Genomic DNA, 21947 nt, shown 5'->3' with positions numbered 1-21947 from the left:
CAGGGCAAAGCCTCTGCCCTCCCCCGGAGACCCTCAATTCTGGACTGACCCTGAACAGGCAGTAAGAGAGAATCTCTTAAATCCTCTCTGCACCTCATTTTCTTCATCTGCCAAACATTTCTTCTCCGCACCTACTATAGACATCACTGGTTTTTGTTTGTTTGTTTTTAAGAGACAGCATCTTGCTCTGTCACTCAGGCTGGAGTGCAGTGGCACCATCATAGCTCACCACAGCCTCAAGCGATCCTCCTATCTCAGCCTCCAGAGTAGCTGGGGCTACCGGCGCACACTACCATGCCCAGCTAATTTTTAAATTTCTTTTTCTTTTAGACATGGGATCTTGCTATGTTGCCCAGATTGGTCTCGAACTCTTGGCCTCAAGTGATCCTCCTGCCTTGGCCATTTGTAACTGTTTTCTTAATTTATAATTTTTATTATGACTGTAAATTATTATTATTATTTTGAGACAGAGTCTTGCTCTTGTCACCCAGGCTGGAGTGCAGTGGTGCAATTTCGGCTCACTACAACCTCAGCTTTCCAGGGTAAAATGATTCTCCTGCCTCAGCCTCCTGAGTAGCTGGGATTACAGGCGTGTGCCACCACACCCAGCTAATTTTTGTATTTTTAGTAGAGATGAGGTTTCGCCATGTTGGCCAGGCTGGTCTTGAACTCCTGACCTCAAGTGGTCCAGCCGCCTCAGCCTCCCAAAGTGTTGGGATTACAAGCATGAGCCACTGAGCCTGGCCGAGTATAAATTATTTAGGGCTGGGGAGAGTTTCTGTGAAAGTTGGGGGGAATTAGTGTCTGTATTCTGGGTGAAGAATCTCTGATTGAAGGGAGAGAGTGAGAGAAGGAGACAGAGAATGTGGATCCAGAAGTGTTTCATAGAGGGAAGGGGTGTAGAACTGTCAGAAGATGTAGTTAGACTATAGGAAGAACTTCCAGCAAGGCAGGGCAGGGCAGGAATTTTGTGAGAGTCTTTTAGTTGGAGAAGTCTCAGCCTCAGATGTCCCTGGGGTGGGAGGAGGCACAGCTTACAGAGATACCCTCTCCTCCTCCCACCCTGGGGGGCCCCCATCTCCCCCTCAGGCTTGATGGGGCCCCAACCCCTCCTCTTCAGGGACACAGAGACTCTTTGTCTGGGGAGTCAGAGGCTGGGAGGGAGGCACTGCTTGCGTCTCCCTCTTCCCCTGGGGCGGAGGTGGGGGAAGCAGGGTTCGGGGAGCAGTTCAGGGCTCAGAATACGCCTCTTGGTTCCTCCCCTCCCTGGGGAAACACCCTCACATCCTGCGTGTCTGCGCTTGTCCAATTGCATAAAAGCTCTATTTGACCTCATGGGGGCCTCTTCATGCTGGAGGTGGGGGTCCCAGCACGGTGAGGGGGGCCTCTGCCTCATCCCAAGAATGGCAAGAATCCACCCCTTCCTCCCCAGTGGCTGTGCGTTGCTTTGCGACAGGGACAGATTCCCACCACCTCCCACCAACGCGCCGGCCTTTTTTTTTGAGACAGACAGAGTCTTGCTCTGTTGTCCAGGCTGGATCGCAGTGGCACAACCTCAGCTCACTGCAACCTCCACCTCCCGTGTTCAAGTGATCCTCCCACCTCAGCCTCCCAAGTAGCTGGGACTACAGGCGCCAGTCACAATGCCTGGCTAATTTTTGTATTTTTAGTAGAGATGGGGTTTCGCCATGTTGGCCAGCTGATCTCTAACTCCTGGACTCAAGCGATCTGCCCGCCCCAGCCTCTCAAAATGCTGGGATTACAGGCATGAGCCACCGCACCCAGCTCAGACTCCCTCATTTGGTGGGGATTTGGGATTGAGGCCGGGGCATCCACTGGAGACCTGAGTTGGGGCGGGGGGAGATGAGGGTTAGGGATGGAGATGAGACCCTTTATTTGAGGAATCAAGAATTTGGGGAAAGTGAAAACTGTGTTTTGGGATCTGTGGTGAGAATTTGGGACCAGGACACGTGACTTAGGGATTTGAGTGGACAGATGAAGGTTTGGAGTAAGGCTGGGGACCCCATTTTGGGATCTGGGGTGAGATTTGAGGTGGGATGAGGACCCGTTAGGGACTTGAAGGAAAGGCTTTGGGGCTGAGGCTGGTACCTCCTATTGTGCAGCTGAGGGACTGAGGATAAAGCAGGTAGGTGAGTGAGAGTTCGGGGTGAGGTTGGGACCCCAGTTGGGGGCCTGAGTGAGGCAGAAAGGACTTGGTGCCAGGGGCGGTGGCTCATGCCTGTAACTCCAGCGCTTTGGGAGGGCAAGGCCGGAGGATCGCTTGAGACCAGAAGTTCAAGACCGGCCTGGGCAGCATAGCAAGATCCCGGTCTCTACAAAATATACATATTTTAAAATTAGCTGGGTGTGGCAGTGTGTGCCTGTGGTACCTGCTTCTCAGGAGGCTGAGGCAGGTGGATGGCTTGAACGCAGGAGTTGGAGGCTGCAGTGAGCTATGATTGCACCACTGCACTCCAGCTTGGGTGACAGATCAAGACCCTGTCTCCAAAATAAAATGTAAAAATAATAGAAAATAAAAAAGATTTGGTATAAAGCTGCACCTCCTCCTAATTCTAGGGCCTGGATGGAGGCTGAAGTCTTGAATGAGGTTAAGGTCTCCTTTGAGGGGATCTGCTAGGCGGAAAAGGTTTGGGGTAAGACTGGAACCCTCGAACTCTAGGGCTGGGTGGGAGTGACCCTTCTCCTCCACAGTGGGGTGGGGCAGGAACAACCCAGCTCCTGGCGCTGGGCTCCACCCCAGCCAGCCAATCAGCCCTCAGCACAAAGTTTCCCAACTTCCCAGTCCAGCTGTCAGCGCTCCCCCTCCAAAAAGCCCCGCCTGGCCAGGCGCTGGAGCGCAGGGCGAGGCCAGGGCGGGGTCTCGGGCAGTTTCCCGCGGACCCTGAGAGGAGCGGCCGCCGCGAGTGACTGCACCGAGCCCGAGAAGTCGCCGCGCCCCGCAGCCGCCCCGACTGGTTCCCCGCCTTGCCCGTGGGCCCCGCCGGGATGGGGAACCGCCGGGACCTGGGCCAGCCGCGGGCCGGTCTCTGCCTGCTCCTGGCCGCGCTGCAGCTTCTGCCGGGGACGCAGGCCGGTGAGCCGGGAGGGAAGAGATGGGACCCAGGGTCCACGACTCAGAGAGGCTCTAAAAGAGCGAGGGGTGGAGGGGGGTGGAGGGGCGTGGAGGGGAAGGGCGTGGGCGCCGCGTGCGGCCCCGGTGTGATGTGGGCGCATGAGTATCTGACTCTGGGTGATTTGTGGGTGTGACAGCTCGGGGTGGGGGTGGGGATGTGTGAGTGCGTTTTCTGGCGAGCGCGTGGGAATGCATGCAATGTGCAGGTGTGTGCATGTGTGTATGTGTGTGTAGCATGTGTGTGCATTTGGAGTGAAGTTGCGTATGTGCTTGCGTGTGGAGGTTGATGGTGATAGTGTGACTGTGAGTGACAGGGCAGTGCTGGGACGGTGTGTATTGCGACAGGTGAGTATGCACTTGTGCTCTTGTCTATGTGCTGATTTTCGAGGGTAACCGTGTGAGTGGTTATGCGTGTGATTGTGTGTCTCTGAGTGCCGCTATGAGGGGTGTAGTTATGATTTTTGGGTGCAAATAATTGCCCATGAGGATGAAGGTGGGTGGGGACAAGTATTGGGGGGTGCTCTTCGGGAACCCACAGTTTCCTTTGCGTCTCTTTAAATGGCTTCACCTCATTCTCCCTTTTCCTCCTCTGCCCCAAATTGGCGAGCGCCCATCTCCTCCCCTCCCTCCCTGTTGCCCCCTCCCCCACCCCGCGGTCCCCAGAGCCGCGATCAGCACCATGGACAGGGCTTCGGGGAGGGCCGCGGTGAGGGGCGAGACGGGGCGGGGCGCAGGGCGGGGCAGGAGTGGAAGTTGCTCCCCCCCTCCCCACCCCAGCTGCTGGAGCCTTGGGTGTTTTTCCCGAGGAATTTCTCAGGAGCCCCCAAGGGGTCCCGGGGGCCGCCGGATGGGTGAGTCAGCGCTGACGCACGCCCAGCTGCGCGCATCTGGCTGGGCGCCCTGTCCCGCCCCTCAGGGTTCAGAGTGGGGGGCGCTTCGGGAGTCAGGGGATGGCGTAGCTTCTCAAGTGTTGGAGATGGGGCTTCCCTGATCTGAGAGACCCTAGACTAGGTCCTCCTGGAAATCCCTTTCTAAGGTGAGCTCAGTCTCCCAACACACACACACACACACACACACACACACACACACACACACACCACAGCACACTTCTTACTTTGGAGTCCAGGAAGGTGCCTGTCCATATGGTTAATCCCTGATTGGACTATGCCGCATTCCCACGCTCACACATCCACATGGTCATGGAATCTTAGGCATCCACTCTGAATATAAGTCCCCTGGGACTCCAGGAATGTGAAACACCGTGTCCAGGCAACCCCCTTCAGCCACCCGCCAAATGGTCCCAGCTTTTATGACCCTCCCACGTGCTCAAATTCTCACACATGCTGCCCCTGACATCCGAACAAACACTGTCAACATTCACAACCCATCACCCACTCACCCACTGGGTCACACTCTCACACAGAACGGCACTCCCCCATCAGAAGTCCGAGGTGTTAAAGTCACAGACACACCTGCAAGCTCACGGCAAGCGTTGCATGGCCACACGTCAAGCAAGTGTATCTAATCCCTCCATTAGAAGCCAAATATTTGCACACATTGACACCTGGAGAAACGACATATGCCCAGCTATTCTCTGCCTGTCTCACTCAGACTCACCCACGCTTGTACAATCTCATGCACATACACGTATTTGCACACACATCGCACACCTGGGGGGTTCCCAGCCATGCCCTGACTCAGTCCCCGCCTCTGTCCCTCCACATCCCAGACCCCACCCAACATCCCCGTGGGGGCCCTGACCAGCACAGGGGAGAGTGGCAGGGGGCAGGCTGGGCCCCTGACAGACCCCCCCACCCCTTGTCCCCTGTAGGCAGGACTCAATGCAGCTTGTGTGCCTTTTTGTCATAATGCCAGCTGTGAAAAGAAAGGGCAGTCAGTTTCTGAAAGGTCATTCCAGAGGGGACACAAGTTTCAAGCAGGAGAGCTTTGAGTTGGATGCCGGGAAGGACTTTCTTAATGTAAATGAGTGGTAGTTGAGGGAAGACCCTCTTTCCTCTGCAGAGAGGTTAGGGTGCGGGTCAGGGGAGAGCCTCCAGGCTGGGTGAGGTCGTCGGTCTCAATCCTGCCCTGGGCCCCAGGCTGAGATGGGGCAGCTGGGATGATTGTTCCGTGGGGAAGTGACTCTTGTGGTCAGCAGAGCCTGGGAGCCCAGATCTCAGCCCCAGGGGACTGCAACCCAGATTTCTCTTAATGACAGCCTAGCCACAAAACAGGCAATTAGAGATGGGGGCTGGGGTGATGGGTTGGGGAAGGCGGGTGGAGAGAGAGAGAGATTGAGAAGAGAGAGAGAGAATGAGAGAAAGAGAGAGAGAGAGAGAAAGAGACTTGGACACAGATGGAGGCCTGGAAAGACCCGGCACAGAAAGTGGGACAGAGAGAGGGCGGGCAGGGATGGGGAGAGAAGGAGATTGGAGGCAAGAGGAAACAGAGGCTGAAACAGGCCTCCGAGGAGTCTGGAAAATGAGGGTTCTGACCTAGGAAGAGTGGGAATGGGGGTCCTTCATCCAAGCCCGTGCCTCCCCAACGTCTTAGCCCCCCCGCCCCAGCTCCCCGTGGTGAGATCAGCAGAGCCGCCCCCAGGGGTGAGGTCATGGCAGATTCTGGAGAATCCAGCTCCCGCCAAGAGGCTGGGGCAGGGGGTCAGTGGGACAGTTTGCTGAGGGTTGGGGGATGGGGGAATCAGACAGGGGCTCGGGGCCCAGGGGAAGCCCCCACCCGCCCCTGCCCAAGCCATGTGGTTCCACTTAGCACTGGCTGGGCTGCCTGCTGGGGTGGGGCTGGTAGCATGGCCTAGATTAGGAACTGTTGGGCCAGACAAGTCCTTTCCTTAGCTGGGATGAAAGAGGGAGAGGGTCAGACAGGGGAGGTCTGGAGGTTATCGGAGACAGCTGGTCAGAAGGAGGAAGTCAGAGAGATGAAATGAGGAGGTCATGGGTCAGATGGAGGAGATCAGGATAGGCAGTGGGAGAAGGTCAGGGGGTAGTCAGAGGGAGGAGGTCAGAGGGAGTTGATCAGAAGGGAATGTCAGAGGGAGGAGGTCAGAGGGGAATGTCAGAGGGAGGAGGTCAGAGGGGAAAGTCAGAGGAGAGATCAGAGGGGAGGCTCAGAGGGAGGAGGTCATAGGGGAGAGTCAGAGGGAGGAGGTTAGAGGGGAAAGTCAGAAGGAAGAGGTCAAAGGGGAAAGTCAGAGGGAGGAGGTCAGAGGGGAAAGTCAGGAGAGGAGATCAGAGGAGACATTCAGAGGGAGGAGGTCAGAGGGCAAAGTCTGAGAGAGGAAGTTCATAGAGGAGGGTCAGAGGGAAGAGGTTAGAGGTGAAAGTCAGAGGGAAGAGGTCAAAGGGGAAATTCAGAAGGAGGAGTTTGGGATCAGACAGAAAAAGGAGATCAGAGGGAATAGGCTGGGGTCAGGCAGAAGAAGATCAGAAGGTCAGAGGGGGTAACCAGAAAAAGAAGTTAGTGGGCATGGTCAGAGGCAGATGGTCAGAGGGAGGAGATCCAAAATGGCTGTAGTCAAAAGGAAGAGGTTGTGGGTGATGGTGGTCAAAGGAGGAGGTTAGAGAGAGGGAGGAGGTGGGGGAAGAAAACACACTGGAAGCCCCTCCTCTCCACGTGGGTTTCCCCTGGCAAGGGGGCTCCAGGCCTGGGATATAGCCCTAGGGAGCCTGCGCGGGAGAGCAGGGAGAGGGGGACCGTTCCACTCTGGGGCTTAGGCCAGGAAGTTTTGATTCATCCCAGAACTAGGTCAACTTTTTTTCTCACCAAAAACCAAGGGGAAAAAAAAAAACAGAGTCAACAAGCTGCTGAGGTCGGAACATCTGTGGGGTGGTGAGGAGGCGGGGGGTGCTGGGGGCCCAGGCCGGCTCCTTCTTCCTGAGCCACAAACATGGTGGGAGGGAGGGAGAGGCTGAGCCCCCTAAAAAAACCCTGAGCCTCTATCCTGGAGTCCTGGGCTTATTCTAGCTGTTCCCCACCTCTGCCTGACACCCCCGGCTTCTCTCTGCTGCAGATCCTGTGGATGTCCTGAAGGCCCTGGGTGTGCAGGGAGGCCAGGCTGGGGTCCCCGAGGGGCCTGGCTTCTGTCCCCAGAGGACTCCAGAGGGTGACCGGGCATTCAGAATTGGCCAGGCCAGCACGCTCGGCATCCCCACGTGGGAACTCTTTCCAGGTGAGTTGGAGTAGGAGGCCTGGGTACCTCCCCGGAGGGAGGCACTGCTGGGCCCTCTGAGCTGCCTTGTTCCCTCTGCCCACCCAGAAGGCCACTTTCCTGAGAACTTCTCCTTGCTGATCACCTTGCGGGGACAGCCAGCCAATCAGTCTGTCCTGCTGTCCATTTATGATGAAAGGGGTGCCCGGCAGTTGGGCCTGGCACTGGGGCCAGCGCTGGGTCTCCTAGGTGACCCCTTCCGCCCCCTCCCCCAGCAGGTCAACCTCACAGATGGCAGGTGAGCATGGGGAGAGTGGGCGGGGGTCCGTGGATAAGGGGTGGGGTGAGAAGCACCCGCACTGAGGCCGTCCCCTTGCAGGTGGCACCGTGTGGCCGTCAGCATAGATGGTGAGATGGTGACCCTGGTAGCTGACTGTGAAGCTCAGCCCCCTGTTTTGGGCCATGGCCCCCGCTTCATCAGCATAGCTGGACTCACTGTGCTGGGGACCCAGGACCTTGGGGAAAAGACTTTCGAGGTAGGAGTTCAGTGATGGGGGAAACTGAGGCAGAGGGTGGGATGTTTTGTCTACAGCCTGAATCTGGAGAGGATATTAAAGAAGGAAGATGTCAAGCTTCAATCTATCCCCAGGAAGCTAAGGGAAGCGAGTTCATGCTTTCGTGCACCGTTGCAGCCTGTGATTGTGAGATTGCAGAGCCACAAGACAATAATTTTTTTTTTTTTTTGAGATGGAGCCTTGCTCTGTCACCCAGGCTGGAGTGCAGTGGCTTGATCTCAGCTCACTGCAACCTCCACCTCATGGGTTCAAGCGATTCTCAGCCTCCCAAGTAGCTGAGATTACAGGTGTGTGCCACCACGCCCAGCTAATTTTTGAATTTTTAGTAGAGACAAGGTTTTGACACGTTGGCCAAGCTGGTCCTGAACTCCTGGCCTCAAGTGATCCACCCGCCTTGGCCTCCCAAAGTGCTGGGATTACAGGTATGAGCCACCGCGCCTGGCCAAGACCATAAATTGTGACGATGCCTACTTGGCTTGTTGTGGGAAGATCCAGTTGTGCCAGTGCATGCTTGTGTGTGCCGTTGCAGTGCATGACTGTGAGATTGCAGAGCCACAAGACCATAAATTGTGACAGCGCCTACTTGGCTTGTTGTGGAAAGATCTGGTGGTGTCGTGTGTCTGAGACTGTGACCTGAGATGGTGCTGGTTGCTGTGATAGTGTGTGATTGTGTGGGGGCGGTTATGACTTTGGGAGCCAGCAGGCAGCTGTGTTGTGTGGTTGTGTGATATGTGTTCTGGGTGTGGAGACCTTTGTTAGCTGTGTGTGACCGTGATGTGTGTCACCTCTGGGAGGCCAGGGACCTGATCTATCTCATGTTCCTCCTTATCCCCAGTACCAGCTCTTCCCACAACAAGCCAAGTAGGCATCGTCACAATTTATGGTCTTGGCCGGGCGCGGTGGCTCATACCTGTAATCCCAGCACTTTGGGAGGCCAAGGCGGGTGGATCACTTGAGGCCAGGAGTTCGGGACCAGCCTGGCCAACATGGCAAAACCTTGTCTTTACTAAAAATTCAAAAATTAACTGGGCGTGGTGGCACACGCCTGTAATCTCAGCTACTTGGGAGGCTGAGAATCACTTGAACCGGTGAAGGAACTGATGCACCTCTAGTGGGGCAGATGTGTGGGATGTGGCTTGTGGTTGGGATCGGGTGTGCCCCTGATAGGATCTTTCCTTCTCTTAGTTACAGGGGGTAGAGAGATCACTAGGGCTGTGATGGGGTCATCTCTTCCTTATACTTAGCATGCTCTGGGTGGGGGAGCATTGCACCCTGGTGCCAGGAGGTGGGCAGGACTGCTGGGGGTTAGGGGGTCAGAGTAAGCCTATGGCTGTATGGCTGCCCTCCTTGACTCCTACACCCCCAACCCCCAGGGAGACATTCAGGAGCTGCTGATAAGCCCAGATCCTCAGGCTGCCTTCCAGGCTTGTGAGCGGTACCTCCCCGACTGTGACAACCTGGCACCGGCAGCCACAGTGGTGAGTGAGGGACTCCATGACTCCTAATCTCAGGACACAGGCTGGGTCCTTCCTGGCTCCAGATCCCTAGAAAGAGTGAATTCTCATCCCCCAGACATGGGGTTAAGTGACCCGTGACCTCCAACACATCCCAGGCATGAATGACTTTGACCTCAAGTCATATTCCTGAGCCACCCTTGACCCCAGGTTACATGAATAACGTTGACTCCAGGTCACAGGGCTGAGTGAGGACCCACGGGCCATGAGCCAGCCTCACCCCAGGTGACCTGAATGATGGGGTCTCTGCTGGTGGGATGCTCTAGACCTGACTGGAACCCTTCTCCCAGGCTCCCCAGGGTGAACCAGAAACCCCTCGTCCTCGGCGGAAGGGGAAGGGAAAAGGGAGGAAGAAAGGGCGAGGTCGCAAGGGGAAGGGCAGGAAAAAGAACAAGGAAATTTGGACCTCAAGTCCACCTCCTGACTCCGCAGAGAACCAGGTAAGGGCCCTGAGACCTCTCACTTCCGGTTTTGACCACCTGACTTCCGGTCTTGACTGTCTGACTTCTGGTCTTGGTGCTTGACTTCTAGTCTCCCATCTCTACTAATCTCTGGTCCCTCATCTATGATCTTTTTCTCTGGTCTCGGATCCATGAGCTCTGACTTCTCTCAGCTGACTGATGACTGTCAGGGTGACTGATAACAGGGTGGGGGTGGGTCCCATCTTATGATCTCTCCCATCTCTGACCCCCTCAATCTCCAGTCCTGGGGCACTAGAGGGAGGGGACAGACCCAGATAAGTTCCTGATTTTAAGGGAGTTCTTGATGAGGGCTACTGTTTAAGGGGGGATCATTGGCTGGGTTGAATGACGTGTTCATTAGTTAGTGTGTCATTGTTTGGGGTTCCCTGCTTGGGGTCACTGGGGACAGTTATTCATTGGGAGAGTCATTAATTGGGGGCATTATTTGGCTTCCCTGATAGGGATTGCTGGATAGTGGGGAATCATTGAGGGAGATATTAATTGAGGTCAGTGTTTGGGCTGCACCTAGCTGGGGATCACAGTGGAAGGTCATGGATAGAAACCATTATTGGTGTTACTGATGTCCCTAGTTTGGGGTCAATGACTGGGGGGTTGTTGGTGGGTGGTCACTGACTGGAAGTCATAGTGGGGTCACTCATTGGGGCCACAAGTTGGAAGAGTGATTTTCAGGGGGTCGCAGATGGGGTAATTGGTTTGGGAGTCCCTGAGGGAATTATTAGTTAGGAAGTCATTGATGGGTGGAATTACTATTTGGGGGTCATTGGTTAGGACGCTTTTGTTGCGCTCATTTATGGGTATTCACTGTTGGAGCATCACTGGTTAGAGGAATAATTGATTAGGGGTCACCGATGGGGGTTATTAGTTGGAGAGTCACTAGTTAGTGCTAATAGCCAAGAGATGTCACTGGTTGAGGTCACTGGTTAGGAAAATCACTGAATGGAGCAGTAACAGGTTGAGGCCATTGATGGGAGTGGGAGGGGTTGTTTGTGGGTCTCTGGTTCTAGAATCACTGGGGTCTGTTGATGTAGGTCATTCTTGGTGGGTCACTGGGTTGGGGGGTCCTTGGTGGGGGTCATTGCTTGGGGTCTTTGGCTGGTGGGGGAGTCACTGGTTGCACTACATCTCAGTTCCAGATCTTCTTGGCCAAGAATACAAACACCAGGAGTAGTGGGCCCCTCTTCAGCCCCTTCCTCAGCCTTGTCCCCTCACCTGGGACCCCACCACCCTCTTCCCACACCCCCCCAACCCCCACCTTGACCCAGTTCCTCTGCAGCTGTCCAGGCCAGAAGGAGCCGCCACTCCCTCTCTGACTGTGGCCTGCTGGCCGCTGAACTCTGCCTTGGGAGAGGACATGTGGGCTAGGCTTCCGGGAGCCTGGCCCTGAATGTTGGACCTTGACCTTGACCACTGGGCTTCAGGGCCAGCCTGACTCAGCACCTCCTCCATCCACGGTGGCTCCCTCTGCTGGCAGCCCTGGTCCAGCTGGCACACTTTTGTCTCCATTGGCCTCTGGTGCTCTTTGGGGAGCCTCCTCTGTCCCTGTCCCCGGACTGGGAGCTCCTGGGGACAGTGGGAGGGTGCCTCCCTTTTGTCTTGATTGCCCTCACCCGAGACCCAAGGCTCCCTCCATCCCTGCTCCAGACCTCCACTGACATCCCCAAGACAGAGACTCCAGCTCCAAATCTGCCTCCGACCCCCACGCCTTTGGTCGTCACCTCCACTGTGACTACTGGACTCAATGCCACGATCCTAGAGGTTGGATGGGGATGGAAGAGGGGAGACCCCAAGGGTTACGGGGGTGGCAGAAAATAAGGAGGTCAGGGAAAACTTTGGTCTTTCCTAACGTTCTCAGAGGAGCTTGGACCCTGACAGTGGAACCGAGCTGGGGACCCTGGAGACCAAGGCAGCCAGGGAGGATGAAGAAGGAGATGATTCCACCATGGGCCCTGACTTCCGGGCAGCAGAATATCCATCTCGGACTCAGTTCCAGATCTTTCCTGTGAGTTTCTAGGTGGCTGGGGTTAGGTGCAAGAGAGTGGGATTCCTATTAAAATTTTTTTAAAATTTATTTATTTAGGCAGGGCGCAGTGGCTCCCGCCTGTAATCCGAACACTTTGGGAGACCTAGGTGGGCAGATCATTTGAGGTCAGGAGATTGAGACTAGCCTGACCAACGTGGTGAAATCCCATGTCTACTAAAAATACAAAAAATTAGCTGGGAGCGGTGGCGCGCGCCTGTGATCCCAGCCACTGGGAAGGCTGAGGCAGGAGAATTGCTTGAACCCGGGAGGCAGAGGCTGCAATGAGCCAAGATCGTGCCACTGCACTCCAGCCTGGGCAACAAAGTGAGACTCCATCTTGAAAAAAAAAACCGAACAATTTAAAAAAATTATTTAATTTAATTTTTTCTTTTTTTAAAAAAACTTTTATCTTAAGTTCAGGGGTACAAGTGCAGGCTTGTTACATAGGTAAGCTTGTGTCATGGGGTTTTGTTGTACAGATTATTTATTTCATTACTCAGGTATTAAGCCTAGTACCCATTAGTTATTTTTCCTGATCCTCTCCCTCCTCCCACCCTCCACCCTCCGATAGGTCCCAGTGTCTGTTGTTCCCCTCTATGTGTCCATGTGTTCTCATTTAGCTCCCACTTATAAGTGAGAACATGTGGTATATGGTCTTCTGTTCCTGTGTTATTTTATTTACTTACTTTTCTCACATCTTGAGGTCTTAGAAGGGATTTCTACCTGGAGCCACGAAAGGCCAGTCTCTCTTTTGACTTCTGCACCTGCTTGTGTCAGGCACTGTGCTAATAGTTGACTCTGTGACTAGAGAGAGGCGCTTGGCTTTTACTCCAAGCACCAGGAGATGCCACTTGAGCACTTGTGAAGGAACATGATCTGACTTGGAGCTTTAAAAGCTCCCCCTGGGCCGGGGGCAGTGGCTCACGGCTGTAATCCCAATGCTTTGGGCGGCTGAGGCGGGAGGATCGCTTGAGGCCAGGAGTTTGAGGCCAGCCTGGGCAACAGTGAGACCCATCTCTTAAAAAAAAAAAAAAAAAAAAAAAAAAAAAAGAGCTCTCTGGCTGCTGAATGGCACATGGACAGTAGGGGGAGCCAGAGGGGCAGCAGGGAAGCCCGCAATCTGCAGTCGGGACGTGACCTGGAGGAAGATGGGAGGGACGCAGAGAAGTGGACCACTTTGGGACATGCTCCATTTTGGTCTTGGAGAAAGATGGATACGCATTCGATGTAACCGAACCCAAGCTCGGTGGCTTGATGTTTGAAAGGAAAACAAGAGAGACGAGAATTGGTGGAAGGAAAAGCAGGTTTATTCCAAGAGACAGCAAACCAAGAAGATGGTGGACTGTTGTTCCGAAGCACCATCTTAAGTCAGTACAAATTTTAGGCTTTTTTTTTATGTTAAGGGCAGGGAGAAGAGAAGAGGGTAGAGATCAAGAGGTAACTGAGGCCAGGTATGGTGGCTCACACCTATAATCTCAGCAATTTGGTAGGTTGAGGCGGGAAGATCACCTGAGCCCAAGAGTTTGGGACAAGCCTGGGTAACATAGCGAGACCCTATCTTTACAAAATATACAAAAAATTAATCGAACGTGGTGGTTCGTGCCTCTGGTCCCAGCTGAAGCAGGAGGATCGCTTGAGCCCAGGAGGTGGAGGCTTCAGGAAGCCATGATCACACCACTGCACTGCAGCCCGGGTGGCAGAGCAAGACCTTTCTCTAGAGAAAAGAAAAGAGGCTTGGGCCAGGCGCGGTGGCTCACGCCTGTAATCCCAGCACTTTGGGAGGCCGAGGAGGGCTGATCACGAGGTCAGGAGATTGAGACCATCCTGGCTAACATGGTGAAACGCTGTCTGTACTAAAAAATACAAAAAAATTAGCTGGGCGTGGTGGCGGGCGCCTGTAGTCCCAGCTTCTCGGGAGGCTGAGGCAGAATGGCGTGAACCCGGGAGGCGGAGCTTGCAGCAAGCCGAGACCACGCCACTGCACTTCAGCCTGGGCGCGAGAGGGAGACTCTGTCTCAAAAAAAAAAAAAAAAGAAAAAAGAAAAAAAGAAAAGAAAAAAGGCCAGGTGCAGTGGCTCCCAGTTTGAGTTCAGCCTGGGCAACATAGCAAGACCCTGTCTCTACAAAAAAATAAAATAAAAAATAGCTGGGCATGGTGCTGTGTGCACCTGTGGTCCCAGCTACTCAGGAGGCTGAGGAGGGAGGATCACCTGAGTCTGAGGAGATCGAGGTTGCAGTGAGCCATGATTGTACCCCTGCATTCTAGCCTGGGCAATAGAGTGACCCTGTGTCAAAAAAAAAATGCCAAGCAAAGCAAGCAAGCAAGAGAAGGAAGGAAGGAAGGAAGGAAGGAAGGAAGGAAGGAAAAAAGAGAGAGAAAAAAGGAAAAGCCTGCCTGGGCAATAGAGTGACTCTGAAAAAAAAGAAAAAAGAAAGAAGAAAGAAAAAGAGAAAGAAAGAGAAAGAAAAAGAAAGAGAAAGAAAGAAAGAAAGAAAAGAAAGAAAGGAAGGAAGGAAGGAGCCAAGCATGGTGGCTCACGCCTGTAATCCCAGCACTTTGGGAGGATGAGGCGGGTGGATCACCTAAGTCAGGAGTTCGAGACCAGCCTAACCAACATGGTGAAACCTGGTCTCTACTAAAAATACAAAAATTAGCCAGGCGTGTTGGCGGGCACCTGTAGTCCCAGCTACTGGGGAGGCTGAGGCAGGAGAATCGCTAGAACCCAGGAGGTAGAAGGTGCAGTGAGCTGAGATCACACCACTGCACTCCAGCCTGGGGGACAGAGCAAGACTCCATTTAAAAAAAAAAAAAGAAGAAAGAAAAAGAAGAAGGAAAGAAAGAAAGGGAGAAAGGAAAAGCCTAGGTGTTCCACAGGGGAGGCGCATAGACACATAGTTGTAACTAACTTGCCCTTGCTACCTTGTTACCTGGAGTGCTTGTTGTGTGCCAAGCATTGTTTTAATTCATTCATCTTTGCATGATATATACACAGGCGTCATTCATCCACTGACTTTACAGGTTGACCGGTTACCTGTAAGTGGCCATAGGGGTTGACTAAGTTTCCCAACTTAGTTAGATCACTCAGTTAGTAAGAGGCAGATGCAGGATCAGTATTGGGCAGCAGTCTCTGGATTTCACGCTCTTCATTCACCTTGGCATGGCATTGCCCGGTGGATGCGGGGGGCTGAGCTTCTCAGTGCATATTGGTTACAGTAGAGGAGAAGGGGCTCTGAGGGTGGACTCCGTGTGTGTGTGTGTGTGTGTGTGTGCAAGTGTGTGTGATCAGATAACTGAAGGGCTTATGTCCAAGTTCACATCTCTTTTCTCTCCATCTCCCCTGACCCCACCCCAGGGTGCTGGAGAGAAAGGAGCAAAAGGAGAGCCCGCAGTGATTGAAAAGGTGAGGGGTCTGGATTGTGAGGGGGTTGAGAGGCTTCATGATGACAGCGGTCACCGACACTCACTTCTCCCTTCAGGGGCAGCAGTTTGAGGGACCTCCAGGAGCCCCAGGACCCCAAGTAAGTCATGGCTGTGTTTCCTTCTTCCAGTCTTTCCCTTCCAGCTGAGGGGTGTTTAATCCCCTGGAGTGAGGAGTTGGGGTGTAATGTTGCCTGGCCAAGTGGAGGGTAGTGGACATTTGAGGCTTAAAGGGTGAGTCAAAATAGGGAGGATGAACAATATAGAGACTGGGCAACATAGCAAGACCCCATCTCTTTAAAAATAGCCATATATTTTTTTAAAAAATAGTGGCACCCAACTGTAGTCCCAACTACTTGGGAGGCCAAGGTGGGAGGATTGCTTGAGCCTAGGAGTTGGAGGCTGCAGTGAGCTATGATCACGCCACTGCACTCCAGCATGGGTGACAGAGTGAGACCGTCTCTAAAAAAAGAAGAGGGGTCCGAGAGTAGCGTTGGGGGTGAGTGGGGGTCAGTATTGCATTAGGGGAGTTGGAGTGGCTCTGTAGTGGGGTAGGGAGGTCAGCCTGAGGTTAGAGTCAGTGGTAGGTTGAAAGTCAGCCTAGCTCAAACTTTGCACTTCCTGTGACTCCTGTTTCTCTGTCCCCAACAGGGGGTGGTTGGCCCCTCAGGCCCTCCCGGCCCCCCAGGATTCCCTGGCGACCCTGGTCCACCGGTAAGAGACTCCCACTGGGGTGTACACTTCTCAGAGGAGTGAGGTTTGGGGCTGGGAGCGTGACAGTCTGAACATAGATATGAGGGTGTGGCACTCGGGAACACCATCCCGGGGCTGGCACTGACCTCTTCTGTTCTCTGTCTCCCATCTGTGAACTATTTCTCTGGTTCACCTTGTGTTGCTGGGGCCTACTCTTTGCTTTTCTTCTTTTGCCTGTCTCTGTTTCTGAGTGTCTTTTATCTCTGTCTTTCTCCTGTTGTGACTCTGTCTCTGTCTCTCTTCTGTCTCTCTCTGTTGGTCTCTGTCCCTCTCCCTCCGTCCATCTCTCTATGTTCGCCTCTCTCTCTATTTCTCCATCTCTGTCTGTCTTTCACTGGCTTTTCTGTCTCTGTCTATCTCTCTCTGTCTCTCTGTTTCTGTCTCTGTATGTCTCTCCATCTGCCCCCATCCTTCTCCATCCCTCTCTCCCCTTCTCTTTGTCTCTGTTCCATCTCTGTCTTTTCCTTTCCACTTCTCTCTACTTCTCTCTCTTTCCTTGCCATGATCCCTCTTTGATTCTGTGTCTCTCTCCATCTCTCCCTCTCTCTCTCTTTCTGACTCATCCTTCTGTGCCTCCCCTGTCCTCGCTCTCTCTCTCCCTCTCTCCCTGTCTCCACCTCTCTTCCCCCATCCCTCTCTCAGGGCCCTGCTGGCCTCCCAGGAATCCCCGGCATTGATGGGATCCGAGGCCCACCGGGCACTGTGATCATGATGCCGGTAAGAAGGAGATGGAGTGGCCCAGCCTTGGGGAGTGGAGTCCTGATCCAGGAGGGGGCCTCTCCTGGGGGCTTCCCTCACCACTAAATTCCTCCCAGTTCCAGTTTGCAGGCGGCTCCTTTAAAGGCCCCCCAGTCTCATTCCAGCAGGCCCAGGCTCAGGCAGTTCTGCAGCAGACTCAGGTGAGTGGGAGGTGTGGACATAGTGGGAGGAACCCCAGAGAGTGATAGAGCCTCGGCGTAAGGAGGGGCTGGGCAGGAGAAGGGGGTTATTTTTCTCCTGAAGATGCCTCTGTGGGGAATGTTGGGGGTCTTGTGGGAGGCCCCAAGCTCTGACTCCTCTGTCTTTCCAGCTCTCTATGAAAGGCCCCCCTGGTCCAGTGGGGCTCACTGGGCGCCCAGGCCCTGTGGTGAGTAAGGCGACTGCGTGGAGGGGGCGGTGCATGCATTAGTGAAGAATCATCTACCCACACTCCTCCATCTCTCCTCCCCCAAGGGTCTCCCCGGGCATCCAGGTCTGAAAGGAGAGGAGGGAGCAGAAGGGCCACAGGTGAGACTTGTGGAGATAGGGCAGGATAGGATGGGAATAGCCTTCCCCCAGGACCACAAGATACAGTGCTGGATGGGGAAAGTGCCAAAGGGGCTGGGGATACCCTTGCAATTGATGACTTTCCTAGAGAATGGTGGCTCACATCTGGAATCCCAGAACTTTGGGAGGCCGAGGTGGGAGGATTGCTTGAGGCCAGGAGTTCAAGACCAGTCTGGGCAACATAGGGAGGCCCTGTCTATACAATAAATAAATATGTCCTTCCAAGCTGGGTACAGTGGCACACACTTGTCTCAGCTACTTGGGAGGCTGAGGAGGGAGTATTGCTTGAGCCCAGGTGTCTGGCCTGGGCAATACAGCAAGACCCCATCTCTAATTTTTTTTAATACAATAGAATAAGTCCCTCTTTCTTCTTATTTTCCTTTCCTTCCTCCTTTTTGCTTTCTTCTAGGGTCCCCGAGGCCTGCAGGGACCTCATGGACCCCCTGGCCGAGTGGGCAAGATGGTGAGTGACAGCTAGGTCCCCAGACCACCCCTTATCCATCCCTCAACACCCAACATGAGCCTTGGCTTTGTGACCTTGGGGTCTGCTGGTGTCGTTAGTGGGAAAAGAGTGCTGAAGGCAGGGAATGGCAGCTCCACTGAGTGTGTGTCAAAGGAATCCGGCCAGGCCGTAGAGTCAGGAAGGACTTGCCTGCAGGAGTGATGCTTGCCCTGAGATCTGAAATAGAACCAGATGAACAGATGGGGAAGTGGAAGAAACAGCACGGCAAAAAAGAGGCCTGTCACATGGAAGGAAATGACAAACAAGTCAACTTCAGATAGAGTCATGCACCACATAATGATGCTTATAAGATGATTGGCTGCGCGCAGTGGCTCATGCCTATAATACCAGCACTTAGGGAGGCCGAGGCAGGTGGATCATTTGAGGTCAGGAGTTTGAGATCAACCTGGCCAACATGGGGAAACCCCGTCTCTACTAAAAATACAAAAATTAGCCGGGCATGGCAGCGTGCGCCTGTAATCCCAGCTACTCGGGAGGCTGAGGCATGAGAATGGCTTGAATCCAGGAAGCAGAGGTTGCAGTGAGCCAGTGCACACCAGCTTGGGTGGCAGAGTGAGATTGTGTCTCAAAAAATAATAATAATAATAATAAATAAATAAGATGCTGGTCCCATGAGATTATAATACTGTATTTTTACTGTACCATTTCTATGTTTGGATGTGTTTAGACATACAAATACTTACTATAGTGTTACAATTGCCTGTGATATTCAGTACAGTCGCACATTGTTCAGGTTTGTAGTCTGAGAGCACTAGGTTATACCGCATAGCCTGGGTGTTTGGTAGGTTGTACCATCCAGAGTTGTGTAAGTGCATTCTATCTTGTTCACACAATGACAAAATTGCCCACTGATGCATTTCTCAGAATGTATCCCTGTTGTTCAGTGACATGTGACCATATATATATATATATATATATATATATATATATATATATATATATATGTAAAACATATATGTAACTCCAGCCTGGGCAACAGAGCAAGACGCCATCTCAAAAAAATAAAATAAAATAAAATCAGCCATGGCATAGCAACTGGTATCTCTAATCCCAGCACTTTGGGAGGCTGAGGTGAAAGGATGGCTTGAGCCCAGGAGTTTGAGACCAGCTTGTGCAACATGGCAAAACCCGGTCTCTACACAAAATACAAATAAAAAATTAGCCAGGTGTGGTGGTGTGCACTTGTAGTCCCAGCTACTTGGGAGGCTGAGGTGGGAGGATTGCTTGAGCCAGGAATTCGAAGCTGCATTGAGCCATGATCATGCCACTGCACTCCAGCCTGGGCAAGAGAGCAAGACCTCAGCTCTAAAATACATAAATAAATTAAAAAAAATAATATCTTAGCCTTGGCATGGTGGCTCATGCCTGTAATCCCAGCAGTTTGGGAGGCTGAGGTGGGTGGATCGCTTGCATTCAGGAGTTTGAGACTAGCCTGAGCAACAGGGTGAAACCCCCACCATCTCTACCAAAAATATAAAAAATTAGCCAGGCCTGGTGGCATGCACCTGTGGTCCCAGCTACTCAGGAGGCTGAGGTTGCAGTGAGCTGAGAACGTGCCACTGCACTCCAACCTGAGTGACAGAAGGAGACCCTGTCAAAAAAAAAATCTTGATGTTGATGATGAAGTTGGGTTCCTAATTTGGTGGAGGGGTACAGGGAAGGCTCATCCTTGACTCTTGGGCTTACTTTCTCCATAGGGCCGCCCTGGAGCAGATGGAGCTCGGGGCCTCCCAGGGGACACTGGACCTAAGGTAGGTGATGGGGGCTGAGATAAGACTTGGTGGGAGCTGTCAGGCTTATGGGGTCAAGGCTCACTGGTGTCTCTGGACAGGGTGATCGTGGCTTCGATGGCCTCCCTGGGCTGCCTGGTGAGAAGGGCCAAAGGGTGAGTGTGTGAGGTCCCTCCCCCAAGTCTAAGCCCTCCTCCCAATATTCAAGCCCCCCCAACTTCTCCCTCAGTATCAGAGTCATGATCCCTGTGTCCCTCCTCACACCCCATCTGCCTTCCCAGGGGGCTGGTCTCTCCGCCCACACCCTTCCACTCTGAACTCCCCTCTGTTCCCTCTCCAGGGTGACTTTGGCCATGTGGGGCAACCCGGTCCCCCAGGAGAGGATGGTGAGAGGGTAAGTTTGGAAGAGAGTTAGGGCCTGGTTTGGAAAGTAAGTTTGGAAGCCTGAGTGAGAATCAGAGAGGAAGATCTGGAGGTCTCAGTGGCCAGCTTGAGAGCTAGGGACAAATTGTGGGGTGAGGAGGTGAGACTTGCAGGTCTAGGATTGGAGTCAGGGGCCTGAATGGAATCCCATGAACTTAGTCTGCAGGTTCCCAGGGATCCTGGTCTAATTCCGAGACCCCCTGGAAGGGGCTGCCCAGATGAGGGGAGGTGGCTCTCCGAGGGTTGTACCTTCCTGTTCCCAAGTAATGACGCTTTTCCACAGGGAGCAGAGGGACCTCCAGGGCCCACTGGCCAGGCTGGGGAGCCGGTGAGTATCAGGGATCCCTGGGCCCCTTGCTTGGTGCAGGGGAGGGAGTCAGGACTCCCAGGGCCCCAGGACTCATAGGACCCCTAGAGCTCACATGGCCACACAGAGGTGATGTGGAAATAATTCGCCTGCTCCCTTGCAGGGTCCACGAGGACTGCTTGGCCCCAGAGGCTCTCCTGGCCCCACGGGTCGCCCGGTGAGTGTCACTGGCTCTCTGCATCCCTGTCTGTCTTTTTGTTTGTTTTGAGATTAGGGTCTCGCTCTGTCGCCCAGGCTGGAGTGCGGTGGCGAGATCTCAGCTCTCTGCAACCTCCGGCTCCTGGGTTCAGGTGATTCTCATGCTTCAGCCTCCTGAGTAGCTGGGACTACAGGGACCCACCAGCACACCTGGCTAATTTTTGTATTTTTAGTAGAGACAGGGTTTCACCATGTTAGTTAGGTTGGTCTCGAACTCCTGGCCTCAAGTGGTCCTCCCAAAGTGCTGGGATTACAGGCCTGAGCCACTGTTCCTGGCCCCTGTCTGTCTTTTTTTTCTCGCTTTTCTGCCTTCTGCATGTCCATATCTGTTGCTGGCTTCTCTGCCTGCTCACATTTCTTTCTTTCTTTTTTTTTTTAGACAGAGTTTTGCTCTTGTTGCCCAGGCTGGAGTGCAATGGCACGATCTCTGCTCACTGCAAACTCCGCCTTCCACGTTCAAGCTATTCTCCTGCCTCAGCCTCCTGAGTAGCTGAGATTACATGCCTGGCTAATTTTTGTGTTTTTAGTAAAGACGGGGTTTCACAATGTTGGCCAGGCTGGTCTTAAACTCCCGACCTCAGGTGATCCACCTGCCTCAGCCTCCCAAAATGCTGGGATTACAAGCATGAGCCACAGTGCCCGGCCCTGCTCACCTTTCCACCTGCATCTCTCGGTGTCTCAGACTCAGGCTCCCAGCTTGTTGCTCTGTCTTGGTCTCACATCCTCTTTTCCCCTAGGGTGTGACTGGAATTGATGGTGCTCCTGGTGCCAAAGGCAATGTGGTATGTGCCCTGTGCCCTTTGACCTCTGACCCTTCTGACACTCTGACCCCGATTGTCCACATCCCTATTCCCTTCCATGACTGACCCCCCCCAAGTCAATTTCACTAACGCCCCAACACCATGACCCCTCTTAGCTTCACTGAAACCCCACTTTCTCCCCAGGGTCCTCCAGGAGAACCAGGCCCTCCGGGACAGCAGGGAAACCATGGGTCCCAGGTTTGAACTGTCTTTCCCAATAATGGGGCATGGGAGTGGTCAGTTAAGACCTTAGACCGTGACCAGGCTTCCCAACCTCCACACTCACCGCTTCTTTCTTATGCCTTCTCTCATCTTCTTTTTCTGTCTCCAGGGACTCCCCGGTCCCCAGGGACTCATTGGCACTCCTGGGGAGAAGGTGAGTGACAGCTCCACCTACCGCGACCTCCTCAAGTCTTCTTCCTTCAACTCTGTTGCCAGGAAAATCTTCCCACCAAGACCCCTCTGTTAGCTCTGGATAGTGATAGACTGCAACATTCCCTAAGCCAGCCCGGAGATACAAAGTGTCCTTGTTGGGGAAGGA

The 21947-nt window shown here is 53.5% G+C and overlaps 1 protein-coding gene across 2 annotated transcripts in view, besides 4 other annotated features; it reads left to right on the top strand.

Annotated features, from left to right (window-relative positions):
• Window positions 2888–21947, top strand: part of COL5A3 (collagen type V alpha 3 chain) — a 50944-nt gene continuing 31884 nt past the window's right edge. The window contains exons 1-24 of one of the 2 annotated variants that reach the window (XM_011528042.3): window positions 2888–3094; window positions 7161–7319; window positions 7410–7596; window positions 7678–7834; window positions 9247–9351; window positions 9678–9827; window positions 11511–11624; window positions 11722–11868; window positions 15243–15290; window positions 15367–15408; window positions 15959–16021; window positions 16703–16777; window positions 16876–16959; window positions 17130–17186; window positions 17273–17326; window positions 17775–17828; window positions 19586–19639; window positions 19720–19773; window positions 19959–20012; window positions 20325–20369; window positions 20512–20565; window positions 21344–21388; window positions 21551–21604; window positions 21738–21782. In XM_011528042.3, coding sequence (XP_011526344.1) covers window positions 3007–3094; window positions 7161–7319; window positions 7410–7596; window positions 7678–7834; window positions 9247–9351; window positions 9678–9827; window positions 11511–11624; window positions 11722–11868; window positions 15243–15290; window positions 15367–15408; window positions 15959–16021; window positions 16703–16777; window positions 16876–16959; window positions 17130–17186; window positions 17273–17326; window positions 17775–17828; window positions 19586–19639; window positions 19720–19773; window positions 19959–20012; window positions 20325–20369; window positions 20512–20565; window positions 21344–21388; window positions 21551–21604; window positions 21738–21782 — 1989 coding nt within the window. In that variant the 5' untranslated portion in view covers window positions 2888–3006. Of the gene's footprint in view, window positions 3095–7160; window positions 7320–7406; window positions 7597–7677; window positions 7835–9246; window positions 9352–9677; window positions 9828–11510; window positions 11625–11721; window positions 11869–15242; window positions 15291–15366; window positions 15409–15958; window positions 16022–16702; window positions 16778–16875; window positions 16960–17129; window positions 17187–17272; window positions 17327–17774; window positions 17829–19585; window positions 19640–19719; window positions 19774–19958; window positions 20013–20324; window positions 20370–20511; window positions 20566–21343; window positions 21389–21550; window positions 21605–21737; window positions 21783–21947 lie in introns of both variants that reach the window. The other variant, NM_015719.4, reaches the window with a different exon arrangement.
• Window positions 10894–11393: an enhancer, noted in NCBI's record as "H3K4me1 hESC enhancer chr19:10112675-10113174 (GRCh37/hg19 assembly coordinates)". NCBI's record gives its function as "activates a minimal SCP1, AML or CMV promoter by ChIP-STARR-seq in primed H9 embryonic stem cells {active_cell/tissue: H9 hESC(primed)}" and the evidence as "EXISTENCE:reporter gene assay evidence [ECO:0000049][PMID:30033119]".
• Window positions 11394–11895: an enhancer, noted in NCBI's record as "H3K4me1 hESC enhancer chr19:10112173-10112674 (GRCh37/hg19 assembly coordinates)". NCBI's record gives its function as "activates a minimal SCP1, AML or CMV promoter by ChIP-STARR-seq in naive and primed H9 embryonic stem cells {active_cell/tissue: H9 hESC(naive and primed)}" and the evidence as "EXISTENCE:reporter gene assay evidence [ECO:0000049][PMID:30033119]".
• Window positions 12885–13179: a silencer, noted in NCBI's record as "tiled region #3549; K562 Repressive DNase unmatched - State 12:CtcfO". NCBI's record gives its function as "represses a minimal TATA promoter and a strong SV40 promoter by Sharpr-MPRA in K562 cells {active_cell/tissue: K562}" and the evidence as "EXISTENCE:reporter gene assay evidence [ECO:0000049][PMID:27701403]".
• Window positions 14526–14754: a silencer, noted in NCBI's record as "fragment chr19:10109314-10109542 (GRCh37/hg19 assembly coordinates)". NCBI's record gives its function as "represses an EF-1alpha promoter that drives an FKBP-Casp9 reporter gene in an ReSE screen in K562 erythroleukemia cells {active_cell/tissue: K562}" and the evidence as "EXISTENCE:reporter gene assay evidence [ECO:0000049][PMID:32094911]".

Source organism: Homo sapiens, chromosome 19 (genome assembly GCF_000001405.40).
Source record: "Homo sapiens chromosome 19, GRCh38.p14 Primary Assembly".
In the NCBI taxonomy this organism is placed as follows: Eukaryota; Metazoa; Chordata; class Mammalia; order Primates; family Hominidae; genus Homo; species Homo sapiens.
Note: the sequence above shows the minus strand (reverse complement) of the source record. Positions and strands in the feature narration are given on the sequence as shown.